This window comes from Homo sapiens, chromosome 20 (assembly GCF_000001405.40).
Source record: "Homo sapiens chromosome 20, GRCh38.p14 Primary Assembly".
NCBI classification, from domain to species: Eukaryota; Metazoa; Chordata; class Mammalia; order Primates; family Hominidae; genus Homo; species Homo sapiens.
In genome coordinates this window covers 58458256-58473698 of record NC_000020.11, presented here as the reverse complement: position 1 = coordinate 58473698, position 15443 = coordinate 58458256, and the positions used below count along the sequence as shown (strand labels likewise).

Genomic DNA, 15443 nt, shown 5'->3' with positions numbered 1-15443 from the left:
CTGCAAAAAGTTGTGTAACCCAACCCACCGCACCATCTGCTTTCAGCTGTTATTTCTTTAGTTAAGACTTTTTTGGAGGAAGAGAAGGGGTGGGGGGGGAAGCAAAGAAAATCCAACATCTACCCCAAGAGCTATGTTGGAGAAAATGTCATGGAATCATTTATAATTGGTTAATTTCGTTTTTGCAACCTTGAAGTTGAGACTTCACGCATGACCAAGAGGCCACGTGATGCTCCTCCACAGGTGCATCTTGAGGAGCTCTTCGCATTTGTGTGTACATGTTCCGAATGCAGCAACACTTCGCTGTATCTCAGAGTCTCCCAACATAATTAAATCCCAGTTCCTCACAGAAAAACAAGATAAACTAAAATGCACTCGGCAGAAACACAGGATCTGAGGATTCATGACAAAAGGGCCATCTAGTCTCAGTGACTTCAGGGAGGGTGCAGGGGGAAAAAAAAAGCCTTGTTTTCTTTTGAACAGAAAAACATTTCCTCAAGAGCCCAAGTTTTGTGGAAACAATGACAAGATAATTTGCAGGGCCCCTTCACTATTTTACTCTGAAACGCAAGCTTGATTTTCCTACCAGGCAAATATTGCTGACCCCTTTTGATCCTTTTCCTCGCTCTGTTTTCATCCATTCCCCCAAATCAACACTTTTGGACAGGTTTCGTTGACACTGAAGATGTTCAAATTAACCTGCAGAATTGAATCCAGGAAACCCAGTGTCTTCTGAAGAAGCAGATTGCAGAAGCCCCACATGCACGTGGTGTTGACGCTGACGTGCACCCGTCAGCTCAGGACTCCTGGCGAGTTGCATGGGGATCTGGCCCAACTTTGGTGCCTACGTACCCACTACAATATCCTGCCACAAATTCCTGCAAAGTAGACGTGCCAAGTTGAGACAAAACAACCACGGCCTCTCTCTTTCAAGATCCCACTGGCATTTCTTTCACTTGGCAGAGTGGCCCCAAGTGCTGATGAGTCGGTGTGGGGACACCTTGGCCCTGGCTGGGTGGCTATTTGTTTTCATTTCTCCTATTTGGCTAATTAAAGCCAATAAATCAGTTGCAGGATGAACCAAGATTACAACAGGGACCTAGGGCTACACCAGCATTTGTACTCATACCTTCGTTTATTCAGTCGGCCAATGTTTGTTGACTGCCCTGCGTTTTACCCCGTCTCCAAGTCAGCCCCTTTTGTGTTCTCTGGGGATGTGAGACAAGCACCGGTGACGCCGTCACACCCCGAAGTCCAACAACCTGGGCTCACATCCTGGCTTTGCCACATCCGGGTGGCATGTGCCCCGTGGAAGCTGAGCCCATCTCTGAGCTGAGCCTGTTTCTCTGCCCATGAGAGGAAGATGATGCTAACACCGACTCCAGGGTTATTGCAAAGATCAGATGGGAATAATGTATAAAAGAGCAAGGGGTCCACACCCAGTTAACAGGTGCCGTCATCCCCCTTGTCATAATCAGCGTCACTCCTGCCTTCTCAGCTGATCACTGGGGACCCCAAAAGTCTCCAGAGGCAACCCCCAACCTCAAGGGAACTGAGGAATCCACTCTGCCTCATTTTCCTCAAATACCCCTGGGGCACAGAGAGTTTGGGGTCAGGCAGCTCCGCGGGGGCAGTGGGGGGCCCTCAGCTCTCCTGAACCCTTGCTGGGAAGGTCTGCCTGCAAGGTCAGGAAAGGGACAGAACACGCCATCTGCTCACTTCTCAACTCAGCCCCCAACCCCTCCCAAGGCCTCCTGAAGTTACTGCCAGGCCCCCACATCCCCTGGACTGGAGCCCTAAGACTCAGCCCCTCCTGACCCACTCCAGCCCCAGGCTGGGTGGGAAGAGCCATGCTTGGAAGCTTCGCTGCAGGAGCTGGGCCTCCAGGGCCAGGCCAGCGCCCCTGAGCACAGCCCGTGGCTGGAGTATTTGGACGCAGCTCACTGCCGAGCTTCCCACAGCATCCCGTCATCTGGGCCATCTCAAGCCCATCAGCCCTGATTGGAGATGACAGTTTCTGGGAGAGCTGCTGCTCTTTAGCAGCTGAAGGTTTTGGCACTCTCGCCTCTCAGCAGCCCGAGAAAAGATCGTGAACAGTCCCACTCCCGGGCTTCACTTCTCCAGGCCCAGCCAAGCTCATCTAGGGGTCACTCTAGAGGACCTGGAGCTTGTGCTGCAGCGCCTGCTTCCCGTGTCCATCTTCCAGTCACCTTCTGCCCTGAGCCCAATTCCTCCCCCTGGTGTCTGGGCTTAGGGACGGAGCCCTGAAGAAGGGCAGGGCCTGCATTGTTTGGCCTCACACCTCGGCCCGGGCCTCTGCAGCGGCCATGCGCTCTTTCCCTTGCCACACGCTCGCTGAGCACCGAGTAGATAGCAGGTGCCCAGCACCAGGTGAGACCTGAAGCGAGTGGCCTCGAGGGGCCTGCTGTGTGCCGGGAGAGGCCAAGCAGCCCCCAGGGCTCCTTGGTGGAGGGGAGTGGTCTGCTCTAGGGATAGGCTAGGGCCCCACTGTCCCCAGCACCTTGGGTCCTGAGTCCAGAGTGCCCTTTGTCCAGGAGCGTGGGTCCTTCAGCCACCAGCAGGCAGGACTCAGCCACGGCTGATGAGCCCGTGGAAGGTCTGGGCTTCTAAGAGTCTGCTCCACGTGTACAATTCTCAGAGGCCTCCCAGCCCCAGAATCTGGGACAGGCTCCATCTAGGAGGCTTGGATTCTAGGGTGATCACATCTGGGAACCCAGGAGGAGATGCGTCGGGGAGGCTGATTCTAGGATCCTCAATATGGGGAACCCATCACTGTCTCCAGAACTGGGGCACCCTGGGGACGGGGCTGCGATGGAGGTTGCGGGACAGCCCTGCCTGGCTCTCTGTGGCCACAGTGGGGTTGGGAGGGCAGATGGGGTGGGTGTTCCCGGGGCATGCTGGGGTCTTACCCAGGTCTGTCTGCTTTGCAGCCCACACTGCACCGGCGGCTGGGGAGGCCGGGGGCAGCTGCCTGCGCTGGGAACCCCACTGCCAGCAGCCCTTGCCAGATAGAGTGCCCAGCACTGCGATCCTGCCTCCACGCCTTAATGGACCTTGGATCTCCACAGGGTAAGACTTCAGGTCATCCTGACCATGGACCCCTGGACTGGGAGACTTCTGCCTCTGGGACTCGGCATCCAATCTTTGAAATGGGCATAATTCACATAGTTATCCAAGAGGCCTTCTACCTGCCAAGCTGCTGGAGATGCTTGCCTCCCCTCCCAGAGTGCAATGGGAGGCAGGGACTCTGTTGGGCATCACGTCCATGGTCAAAATCCATTCAACACCTTGAACACCTATTATACAAACCTATTACGAGCTAAGTGCCAGGGGTCAGCAGTGGGACATGCGCTCAACATGCGAACACACAAATGAATAATATAAACTTGAGATTGCACTAAGTTCTTCAATGAAGGAAATAAAACCAAAGATGTGATAGCAAGTGACCTGGAGGGTTCTTTAGAGAGTGATCAGGGGAGGCTTCTTGGAGGTGGTGACATCAGCTGAGAGCTAAAAGGAGAGGAATCAGCCATCTAGAGAGCCAGGGAAGAGCCAGGCAGAGGGGGCAGCTGCTGAAGGGCCCTGGGGCGGGAAGTGGCAGGCCAGGGAGAGCCTGGGTGCACCCATCTAATTCTGTCTAACCTGACAGGCTCACTCGACATTTCAGAGGCTCAGTCGCTGCTTTGCGGCCAATGGACTTTGCATTCTCTCCTCATCTGTGGTGCACAAACCCTACAGCAGCCAGCTGAGTCCCACTCCTGGGGCAGGGATCGGGGAAAAGGGAGGCTGTGGCCCCCTTCACACCTGGCATATTCCTCCTTCCCCCGACATCCCCTCCAGGCCAGTCCCATTCTGGGGTCAAGGACTGGCCTCTCCGTGTCCTTCCTGTACCTCCTGAGGTCAGGCAGAAACTCCCGACTGCCAAACATCTGCTAGCGCTTTCGTTGGAGGAAGGGGACATGAGTCCTTCGAGGCCACTTCGAATGCATTTGCAGGCTCAGCCAGGCTGCACACAGCCCCCACGCCCACGGCACAGTCCAGGGGAGATCCAGGCATCCACTCACCAGGGTCACCCAGACAGAACTGGGGTACAGGAAGGGGGGACGCTGGTTGTAGGCTGCTTCTGCCCCAAGACAGTAACATTCTGGAGCAGTTCTTTTAAGAAATTTCTTCTAGAACTTTCTTCCTTGAAAGTTCCCTGCCATGCTCTCCAGACTGACCTTGCTGCTTCTTGGGAGAAGAGTGGGAAAGGCCCCAGAGCCTGGGAACCATCAAGAGGTCCAGTGTGACCTGCTGTGTCCTCCTGGCAAATCTCCCCTCTCCAGGCCTGAGACCCTCAGGGGTGTGGCTCACCCCTCCCTATTTTTAAGTACCTATACTAGTATTTACTTATCATTTTCTGTAAACCAACTTGCTTTTATTTACTAAAATATATTCATTTATTTTTACAGCTTTATTGAGATATAATTGGCATACATTGACAGTGTAATGTGATTATTTTTAAAGAAAACGTAATATTATCCTGGATATGGGGAGCAGAGCCACTTGTCATAAATTAAAGGTAACTGTAAAATTAAATTCCATGAAAACAAAACAACATAAATCCTCTGTAGATCTGTTGCCAACCCGAAGTTCTAAGTTGCTCTCTCTGGGAGAACAGGGAGGTTGGCATTAAAGACACATTAGCTCTGACCAGAGAATTTCCCCTCAACATTATCAAAAAGATGGAAGAAAAGAAAAGGGAATTATTTCCTTGCTGGGTGATAACATGTTTCCTCTGCTCCAACAGCCCTGGTACAAAAAAATATCAAGAAAATGGGCTGGGATCACGCCTGTAATCCCAGCACTTTGGGAGGCCGAGATGGGCAGATTGATTGAGGTCAGGAGTTCAAAATCAGCCTGGCCAACATGACGAAACTCCATCTCTACTAAAAATACAAAAATTGGCCGGGCATGGTGGCACATGCCTGTAATTGCAGCTACTCGGGAGACTGAGGCAGGAGAATTGCTTGAACCCAGGAGGCAGAAGTTGCGGTGAGCCGAGATTGCACCAGTGCATTCCAGCCTGGGTGACAAAGTGAGATTCTGTCTCAAAAAAATAAGAAAGAAAATAGCAGTACAAGAGGGTACCTGGTTAGAGTAAAATCGTGAGGAGGGTGCCTGCTATTTTTCCCCCGACTTCATCCACCGTCCACCCTACCTGCGCCCTCAGTAGGAAGTCCCAGAGGCCTCCTCTGCCCCATCCCCAGGTTGACCGTGAGTCTAGGAGTCATTTCTCTTTCTTCTCCGTCCAACCCCTTCCCCTGGATCTGTTTGTATCACCAGCAAATGGAGTCTGGGGCCAAGTCCAGCCCACTTCCCATTTTTGTAAACAAAGTTTTATTGGCACACAACCATGCCCATCCATGCACGTATCATCTATAGCTGCATTAGCTCTACAATGGCAACTTTGAGTAGTTGCAGCAGAAACCACCCAGCCCACCAAAACAAAAATATTTATTACTCAGCCCTTTACAGAAAAAGTTTGCCGACTCCTGGTTTATATCTTCAAGCCCTGTCACAGGCAAGGATGAGACCTGGTCAGGGCAGTGAGCCTAGAGAAGGGGGAGACAAGACGGGCCTCCATTCACTCAGCAAGGACGCGGGAGGGAGTGGGGCGGGCTCTGGGCCAGGTGCCCAGAGTCCAGCGGGGGAGGAAGCAGGCAGGGCATCCCGGAGCTCCCAGGCCAGCGGGTCCCCAGGTGGTTGCAAAAGGCCCTCCAGCAGGGCAATTCAGATTGAAGGAAAGGAGAATGAACTAGAAGGCTTGTGTCGAGGCCACGAGGCATCCAGTGCAAAGCCCCAGCCCCAAGGGTGCCTGACTGCGAGCAGTGAGGGGAACTGAGGCTGGAGGGGCCCAGGCCTGAGCTGAGGACTAAGAGGAGGGCTGGGGGGGAGAAAGGAGCCCAGCCCAGAGGGGAGAGGGGCTCGCGGCGCGGTGTTCCCTCTGCACCCAGCCCATCTCCTTCCACCCCTGCAGCTGCGAGGTGCGCCCAGGACCGGAGTTCCTGACCCGCGCCTACACCTTCTACCCCAGCCGGCTCTTTCGAGCCCACCAGTTCTACTACGAGGACCCCTTCTGCGGGGAACCTGCCCACTCGCTGCTCGTCAAGGGCAAAGTCCGCCTGCGCCGGGCCTCCTGGGTCACCCGGGGAGCCACCGAGGCCGACTACCACCTGCACAAGGTGGGCATCGTCTTCCACAGCCGCCGGGCCCTGGTCGACGTCACCGGGCGCCTCAACCAGACCCGCGCCGGCCGGGACTGCGCGCGGCGGCTGCCTCCGGCCCGGGCCTGGCTGCCTGGGGCGCTGTACGAGCTGCGGAGCGCCCGGGCTCAGGGGGACTGCCTGGAGGCGCTGGGCCTCACCATGCACGAGCTCAGCCTGGTCCGCGTGCAGCGCCGCCTGCAGCCGCAGCCCCGGGCGTCGCCCCGGCTGGTGGAGGAGCTGTACCTGGGGGACATCCACACCGACCCGGCGGAGAGGCGGCACTACCGGCCCACGGGCTACCAGCGCCCGCTGCAGAGCGCACTGGTGAGTGTGTGTGTTGGGGTGTGGGAGAGGGGGGTGGTGGTCTCGGGGAGGCGAGCTCGGAACCCAGCCCCGCAGCTTTGCAAGACCTGGGCCTGCCCAGGGCTCTGGCTGCCCGGCTGTCATCACTGCCCCTCCCCACTCTGGTCCGCGTGCCTCAGGACATTTGCGCACCCTGTTCACGCAGCTGGAGACATCTTTTTTCAGCCTTTACAAGGCTGGCGGGCCTCTGGTCGGCCTTCCCACGCTAGTCCTCCCCGGCCCCTGTCCTCGTGGGCACTGCAGGATCTCATTTCTGCCCCTGCTGGGCACAGAGGCTTGGTGGGTGTCCCCCTCCCTTAGTTCTCGGCTGAAATATCCGCTCCAGTCCCCATTCTACCGTTCCCCGTTTCCCGCAGGTGACCCTTGCCAGCTCTCAGCCCGCTCTGAAGCTCTGTTGGTGACTTGTTTATTGCCTCTCCCTCTGGCGCTAGGTCCTTCACAAGGGTGGGGCCACAGCGGGCACCTAGCACGGGTCAGGCCGACGATCAGGACCAATAAACGTGGATGGATGAATTAGGGAGAGGGCAGCTTTCCTCCAGGGCGCCGCTGGGGCCGCGCACACCAGCCCAGATGCCACCCCCTCGAAATCTCAGTGCGAGCCTCACACTGACCTAGCCGCACAGCCACTGGGGCGCCACCCTCGCCCACTCCCAAACCAGACGGCGAAGCCACGTGGCCTGGGCTTCTTGTGAGAGGGCCGAAAGGGATCCTTCAGGTCTGGGTGGAGCCCGGGGTTCTGCATTTCCAGCAAGCTGTCCGGGGTGTGGGGAGGCTGCAGGCTAAAGGAAACCACCCTCTCTTTAGCATGTTCCGCCTTGACTCCAACACGAATTTCATTGAAGCTGATTAACCTAGATTTTAGAAGAAGCCATTGCACGCATACCGTCCTAATTTGGGGAGGATCTAGCAGTCCCCCAGCACACTTTTTTTTTTTTTTTTTTGCCAGATGAGCAAACAGGCAGAAAGAAACGTAACTTTACTGTATAATGGCTCCTGGCACATAGCTCAGAGCCTGGCTCCTACAAGGGTGTGGACCTAGGACCTTCCCAGTGTCAGAGACCCCTCTGGTGGCTGGTGAAGCCTAAGGAACCCCCCTCAGAAAATCTGTTTTTAAAAAAAGCATAAGAGAAAATACGTGGGATTTAAATGAAAACCAGTTCTATTAAAACAGTTACCCAAGTTTTAAAACGCTAATTTGTGATATAGAGAAACGATAAATGTGAAATCTTTATTTGCCCTCATTTCAAAGCAGGGACGACTGCAAACCATGTTTCCAGTACCTGCAATGCTGTTAGTGTCATACAAGGTCAGAGGTTCTGCTGACGCTACTGGGGCTCGTTGCCTCCATTTACAATGAGAAGAAATGTTAACTTTTATTAGTGAAAGGTTAGTGAAAATGAAGTTGAGGTTAGCATTCGAGGTGAAAAACTTCTGTACAAGGCACCCAATGCGTATTTCTTGAGTGCACAAACGAGCAGATGGAGGGAGGGTGGATGAATGGGTGTGGATGGATGGATGTGTTCAGCATCCCCATGAAGTCCTCTTGGAGCTCTTAGGCCACCTTCACATCATTCAGCATGTATTTGTTGCCTACCGTGTACTGGACACTCAAGGAACTAAACCAATGAGGCAACTTCTAACCCCTGGTAGTACCCACTTGTTATTGCCCCAATGCGGGAGCACTGTGGATGAGACAGACCAGAAGCCTGCCTTCCTCCCCTTCCCCCACCCCCTCCTCCAAACTGAGGATCTGGATAGCAGAGGAGGAGCACGACACGAAGTTCTCATAATCAGAAAATCAGCCTCAGAGTTCTTTTTATGACCTCAAAATTATTCCCTTTTTGGCAACCAGTGTTCTAGGCTGGTCTGGCGTTAATCCTACTTAGTTCAGAGAAGGCGCTAGCGGTGAGTTGATTACCGGCCACCACCACCTCATTAGGAGGGGAAACTGCTCTGAATGCAGAGAGGACAGATCCCCGGGGGCTGTGGGGGCTGGCAATTTCATGCATCCCCAGGCAGGACTCTGGGGCCATGGCTGTCCCTGCCCTCCCTGCTGCCCGGCCAACCTGGGTGACCAATCCAGCCTGAAATGTGATGGAGAAGCAAAACACATAGAAATGTATGCAGTGATGAACGGTGCCAGATGTACAGACATTACATTAAAGGTCTGCTCACCAATGGCCCGTCTCCTTGGGAGAAAAAAAAAAAAAGAAAGAAAGAAAAGACAGATAATTTCAAAGAAGGAATTGCTGCAGAGAAATCCCCAAGAAATGAATCAGTTGTTGCCTTAAGCTCTCTGGGGCCCACGCCTTGCCCACGACCCAAACCAGATGGTAAACATGAACATTTTTAGAAGTTAATTTAAAACCAATTTGATCCCCAAATTCATTGCCTGGATATAGAATGCTAATCAATCAGCCAACACTGGACCAAAATTATCTGAGCCTGGTGTCACCTCTGGGGGTTAATTAGAAACTGTTTTGTGCTGTTTGAGAAATAACTTTATGTAACAGGCTTAAACGAGTAAGAGTTTGGTTTCTGTACAAGTGTGAATTCTGCTGGCTGGGGGCTTTGTTTATTAACGCATGAGACTTCAGACCTCTGCAGAAAGATGCCCGAAAGATTTCCCATGGAGCCGGGAACCTTGTTTCACCAGCTTCAAAAGCACCACAGAAGGAAATGCTTTTTCTCATCCCTCTTTCACCTTAAAACTTTGCTGCTTCTCAATTTGTTTCTGCTCTGCAGAAAACTGCTCACCCCAGATTACCAACTAGCAGCCCTAAATGTCCTATCTGCAGAGAATATCTTTTGGTTGTCTTTTGTGGTGGGTAAGGACAGCTCTGGGATTATGTTGCTGTAACGCATTATGTCTTCTCAATATATATTAGTGTGACAGCTCAGAATGTAGGTTAAAATGCCAAAATTAGAGTCGACTCTTATCAGCCGGCATCCCAATCACCAACACTCCGGCTAACTATCAAGCTTGCTTGCTCCCATCACAAACATTTTTGCAGCCATTTGCTAGCATTTCAGAGAACCGTCAAGCTCTCTGGGCCCAAATCCCCATAACCAAAGCCAATATGGTCTCCGATATTATATAAATCAAGGAAACTTAAGGTTCATTATAGAAATAAAAAATAACAGCTTATAAAATGTGACGCCCCCCCCCCCCAAAAAAAAACTGTTCTCAATCATCCAGTATTTTCTTTCTAAACCAGAACTTCTAAGTGCCACTCGTCTGGCATGAAACTCACTCAGCAGTGCTGTGTGGAAGTCTTTTGGGATTTTTGCAAGAAAAAATATATTGGAACAAATTTCCCAGCTGGACCCTCAAAATGCCCCCTTCCTGTGGCTGTCCTGCCTGGACTGCAACTCTAAGTTTCCTTCTGGAATGGCCACAGCAGGAGATGTTTGCTTGTTCTCACATCAGCTTTGACAAGTTCCAAGGCCATTTACCTTCCAGAACGGCGCTCTGGCCTACAATCTGGGCGGCAGCTTCTTTTTTAGAAATAAAATAGGAGAAGGAGAAGAAGGAGAAAGAAGAAAGAAGAAATCTGTATCTCATTCCTTTTTAGCGTCTGCTGAGCTTTTTCACTCCAAAATGCAGACTACTCCCACACAATTTGCTTTAGCATCTGTTTCCTGTTAACGTGTTTTACGGTAAACCCAGCTCACGAGAGTTTGTAAGGCAGAGACAACTGTAAATAAGGGCAAAGACAGAGGAAAACCAACTCATAGCCTGGGACAAGGGAGGGTGTGGTGGCACCTGAAGACCCGAGTGTGGCCGGTTTTCCCTATAACAAATAACACGACAATGAACATCTTTGAGTCCCAGCTCTTTACGAGATTTCAACTATCTCCTTCGCGCAGACTTAAGCAATGGGCTTCCAAAGACATAATTTTTTTTTTTTTTTTTTTTTTTTGTGAGATGGAGTCTTGCTCTGTCACCCAGGCTGGAGTGCAGTGGCACAATCTCGGCTCACTGCAGCCTCTGCCTCCCTGATTCAAGCAATTGTCCTACATCAGTCTCCTGAGTAGCTAGTATCACAGGCATATACCACCACACCTGGCTAATTTTTGTATTTTTTGTAGAGATGGCATTTCACCATGTCGGCCAGGATGGTCTTGATCTCCTGACCTCATGATCTATCCACCTGGGCCTCTCAAAGTGCTGGGATTACAGGCATGAGGCACTGCACCTGGCCAATTTTTTTTTTTTTTTTGAGATGGTGTCTCGCTCTGTCCCCCAGGCCAGAGTACAATGGTGTGATCTCAGCTCACTGCAACTTCCACCTCCCAGGTTCAAGCAATTCTCCTACCTCAGCCTCCTGAGTAGCTGGGAATACAGGCATGTGCCACCACACCAGGCTAATTTTTGTATTTCTAGTAGAGATGAGTTTTCACCGTGTTGGCCAGGCTGGTCTTGAATTCCTGACCTCAAGTGATCTGCCCACCTCAGCCTCCCAAAGAGCTGGGATTACAGGTGTGAGCCACTGTGCCCGGCTCAGACATATTTTGATGGCTTTTGATCCTTGTTGCCATATCCACTTTCCATGGGGTAGGTAGAGCAAATGATGCGCACCTTCCACTGTGAGATTTCTAAAGACAAAAATCCTCTATTCTCCACCTGTAGGGAAGATGTAACCTGCTATGAGCACATGAGAGGGGGAGCTCAGACAGCCGGGTGTAAGCCAGGCTGCATTTCAGCTGGTCTCTGCCACTTCCAGGCTGGACAACCTGGGCAGCCCAGCCGGCCCTCTGGGTCTCAGCTCCCTCAGCTATAACATGTACCAGTTGCCCAGGAAGTGCTTAGCATAGTTCTTGGCACTTCTGAAACACCTAGAAGAGTGAGCTAGAAAAAGATCAACTTTCACGGTCAAATTCCAGGACCAAGCAGACTGGGCATGAGCAAGGACAAGTTCTCTCAGGTCCCAAGACGAAGGCCACCTATGCTTCCATTCATTTCTCATTTATTCATGCAACAAATATGTGCTTGCTGTGAGCCAAGCCCTGTGCGGTGGGGATGGGGTAGCCGCAGAGACAGTCCCGGCTTTCTAGGGCTTTTTAGTACTGTAAGGCACGATGCATTCCAGTTTGATGAGGGGTGAGGGGTAGAGAGAGGAGAGTCTCAGGGGGTGGAATGAGGAAGATAAAAGAGGGTGGTGTGACAGCCCTGAGGCCCACCTTACATGGGGCATTCGGGAAAGCTCTCTCTGGTGCCCAGCTGAGACCTAAGAGGTAAGAAGGAGCTGGCGGGGAATTCCAGGTGGAAGAGACAGCAGGAGACCCAAGGCCCGGGGGATACAGGGGCTGACCTCCATCAAGGAGGCCATCCTGGCTGAAGCAAGGAGGTCGTCCTGACTGAAGGCAGGGAGTGAGGAGAGAGAGGAGGGAGGGACAGGCCGCACCTCACCCTGCCTTGACACCCCTACAGAGCTGGGGTTCCTTTCCAGGCTGCACCCCAACTTCTCTATGTGGGACAACCACCGTTTTTCTGTTTGTCTTTTGCCAGCACCACGTGCAGCCGTGCCCAGCCTGTGGCCTCATTGCCCGCTCCGATGTGCACCACCCGCCCGTGCTGCCGCCCCCTCTGGCCCTGCCCCTGCACCTGGGCGGCTGGTGGGTCAGCTCGGGGTGCGAGGTGCGCCCAGCAGTCCTGTTCCTCACCCGGCTCTTCACTTTCCACGGGCACAGCCGCTCCTGGGAAGGGTATTACCACCACTTCTCAGACCCAGCCTGCCGGCAGCCCACCTTCACCGTGTATGCCGCCGGCCGCTACACCAGGGGCACGCCATCCACCAGGGTCCGCGGCGGCACCGAGCTGGTGTTTGAGGTCACACGGGCCCATGTGACCCCCATGGACCAGGTCACCACGGCCATGCTCAACTTCTCTGAGCCAAGCAGCTGTGGGGGTGCGGGGGCCTGGTCCATGGGCACTGAGCGGGATGTCACAGCCACCAACGGCTGCCTACCGCTGGGCATCCGGCTCCCGCATGTGGAGTACGAGCTTTTCAAGATGGAACAAGACCCCCTCGGGCAAAGCCTGCTCTTCATCGGACAAAGGCCCACCGATGGCTCAAGTCCCGATACCCCAGAGAAACGTCCCACCTCCTACCAAGCACCCCTGGTGCTCTGTCATGGGGAGGCCCCCGACTTCTCCAGGCCACCGCAGCACAGGCCATCGCTGCAGAAGCACCCCAGCACAGGGGGTCTTCACATAGCCCCCTTCCCACTTCTGCCCCTAGTTCTAGGGCTGGCCTTCCTCCACTGGCTATGACATTGGACTTGACATCAGGATGGCGGCTCTGGACACCCATTCAACCCTTCAGACTCCCTCCTGGCAGCTGTAGGGAAGGAACCATTCTCCTCTGCTCTGTCATGGATGGATGCACAGCCCCACTGCTTCCAAACTCTGCCTGTGTCCCATGTGGCTCAGGACATGAGCTTAACCCCTGCAAAGCCTATACCACATCCCACAGCCCGGGTCCCCAGTCAAGCACTTGGATGCGGCAGTGATGTTCATCGCTACGTGAGTTTCTAAAGATCACTCCCAATTTTTCTACTTTCCTCATCCTTGGCAGCTCGCCAACAGGTGCAGTCAGGGGGCCACACGGAACACCCCCATCCCATGTTCCCCCCAGTTCTTCCCATCCTGACCCTTGGGATTCCAAGATGGGAGCAAGAGGAGATCCTGAGGCTCTGCCTAGGGACGAGGCCTACAGTTCTGCCATGTCTGTAGGTTGTTGTTTAAAGATTATTAATTCGAATTTAGCAATACGATCTCTAAGTGGTGCCATGAATTAAAGATGCCACTTCGGGCTTTCAGTGCTTCTCAGCTTTTGGGCAAAGGGCTTGTGTCTTCAGGGGCAGCTCAGCTTTCCTGAGTCCTGACTGCTGGCATTCGTCTGCATTTGCCTGTGCTTCTGCGAGTCGGACCTCAAGCTGCCAACACTGCATGTGGATAAATCCAGTTTTCCCGGGCCAGCATGCAAAATGAAGAGGACTCCATCTAAGCTGAGAAGCATGGCCTCCCCAGAGCAGCCTGCGGCCTCCAAGCCTTCCTGGCCCAGGCAAATGCCAGTGTGCACCAGGCTGGCTGCTGGGGGCAGGTCTTTGGAGGGGAGCAGCATTTCCAGCCTTCTGAACATAGTTAATAGTAATGACAGCCGTAACACTAACGCGCTCTGCAATTCGCCCTGCCCAGCCATCCTCGGTTGCCAAGATTGCCTGTGCCTGCCTGACAAAGGAAGAGAATCTCCGAATGTGTATCTTTGGGCCCACCCTAGGGAGAGGTCGGGGTCACCAGGCTACATGGCGACATCTAGGCAGCTCCGCCTTGCCCAGCCTCCTTGCCATAATCCTAATATATTGGTGTCCTCTGCTCAGAGGGGACTGTCATCATGGTGGGAACAGGCTGTGCCTCCCCAGGGACTCTGCCCATGTTCCCAGGGCCTCATCTGTACACTGTGAAATTAACTGGCATCCTGGTGGGCCCAAGGGTTTTCAGGACTGGGGGCCAATGACTCACCCCCTCCTTCCTCCTCCTGATCCCTATCTCTAGCTCTTATCACAGATTTTGAACAATTGTCTGTGAGGTTAATGATGGTTTCAGAGGGAAGCCCTTTTCCTCCCTGAGACTGTGTGGGGTTCAGTCAGCCTGCTGAAATTGCTTCCACTTATTACCCATCCTTCCTCTTAAAAAAAAAAAAAGCCCACCAAGTTAGTATTCTCTGTAGCTCTCAGACAGCTACAAGTGTTCCTGGCATATTTACCAAAGTACAAGAAATCATTACATTATTTACGGTCTCAGACTACATCAGGGTTGGGGGAGCTCCTGGTGGGGATGGCAGTGGGTGTCGATGATATGTCCACGGCTGAGCAGGTCTTGTATCCGAAGCTTGAAGTAACCATGCCACCATTTATCATCAAATTTGAACCTTTTAATAAAATTAAACAGCCTGAAAAATGTTCTTGCTGGTTATTAAAGTCAACCAAGGGAATTACAGTTCTAAAGAAAGGAAGTGGAGTGTCTTCCAGAGAATGTGTGAAAGAGAATAAAACCAGTGGAGGTAAACCCCAGCTCTCTCAGTTCTGCTTTCATGCCACTGCCTGTCCTGCTGAAAACCCCCCAGGGGCTTCCACTGCACTCAGAATAAAAGCCCGACTTCTGGCTCGCTGTTGCCTGCAAGGCTCAGCCACGCCTCCACATGCCCCGGCCACACTGGCCTTCTCTCTGTTTCTTGATCACAGGAGCTCTTGCTGCCTTGGGGCCTTTGCACAAGCCCTGATTTCCGCCTAGCCTCTCTTCCCCCAGACCTTCAGAAGTTGAGCACTTTCTTTTCAATCAAGTCTCAGACCAGATGTTGTCTCCTGAAGATGTCACCATTCGCATCCCAAAGAGCAGCCCCATTTCCCTGGTCCTTCTGTCAGTCCACTGCATCACAGTTGTATGTTCTTTGTCATGAAAACTGATCACTGGCGGAAATGACCTTATTTGCCTAGAATGTAAGCTCCAACGAAAAAGACTCGGCTCTGACTCGCTTCCTGCGATCTTTCCGGAAGGGTCCAGTGTGCCTGGTGCATGGTAGAAAGAACTTCAATAAATATGTGACTCAGTAAATGTTGGTTATCCCTGTTAAGCCTCACACTGAGACCCGTGAACGGATCACCTCCATCTACCAGATTCAGCGACCCTCGAGAGGCCCAGCTGAGTCAGTGAGAGGTGTGTGAGTCTCTGCGTCTTGCGCGCGAGGACACTAAGGCACAGAGAGAAGGGGCTGGGCTCCAGAGCCTGAGATCCGGGCCTCTGTA

The 15443-nt window shown here is 53.0% G+C and overlaps 1 protein-coding gene across 3 annotated transcripts in view, besides 3 other annotated features; it reads left to right on the top strand.

Moving 5' to 3' along the window:
* Positions 1-14598, top strand: part of APCDD1L (APC down-regulated 1 like) — a 56299-nt gene extending 41701 nt beyond the window's left edge. For 2 of the 3 annotated variants that reach the window (NM_153360.3, NM_001304787.2), the window contains 3 exons: positions 2952-3090; positions 6041-6593; positions 12145-14598. In NM_153360.3, the coding sequence (NP_699191.1) occupies positions 2952-3090; positions 6041-6593; positions 12145-12909 (1457 nt within the window). In that variant the 3' untranslated portion in view covers positions 12910-14598. Of the gene's footprint in view, positions 1-2951; positions 3468-6040; positions 6594-12144 lie in introns of those variants that run through there. The other variant, NR_130908.2, reaches the window with a different exon arrangement.
* Positions 12690-12878: a silencer, noted in NCBI's record as "fragment chr20:57035877-57036065 (GRCh37/hg19 assembly coordinates)". NCBI's record gives its function as "represses an EF-1alpha promoter that drives an FKBP-Casp9 reporter gene in an ReSE screen in phorbol 12-myristate 13-acetate-treated (for megakaryocytic differentiation) K562 erythroleukemia cells {active_cell/tissue: K562(+PMA)}" and the evidence as "EXISTENCE:reporter gene assay evidence [ECO:0000049][PMID:32094911]".
* Positions 14665-14774: an enhancer, noted in NCBI's record as "active region_18174". NCBI's record gives its function as "activates an Ori minimal core promoter by ATAC-STARR-seq in GM12878 lymphoblastoid cells {active_cell/tissue: GM12878}" and the evidence as "EXISTENCE:reporter gene assay evidence [ECO:0000049][PMID:35858748]".
* Positions 14905-15044: an enhancer, noted in NCBI's record as "active region_18173". NCBI's record gives its function as "activates an Ori minimal core promoter by ATAC-STARR-seq in GM12878 lymphoblastoid cells {active_cell/tissue: GM12878}" and the evidence as "EXISTENCE:reporter gene assay evidence [ECO:0000049][PMID:35858748]".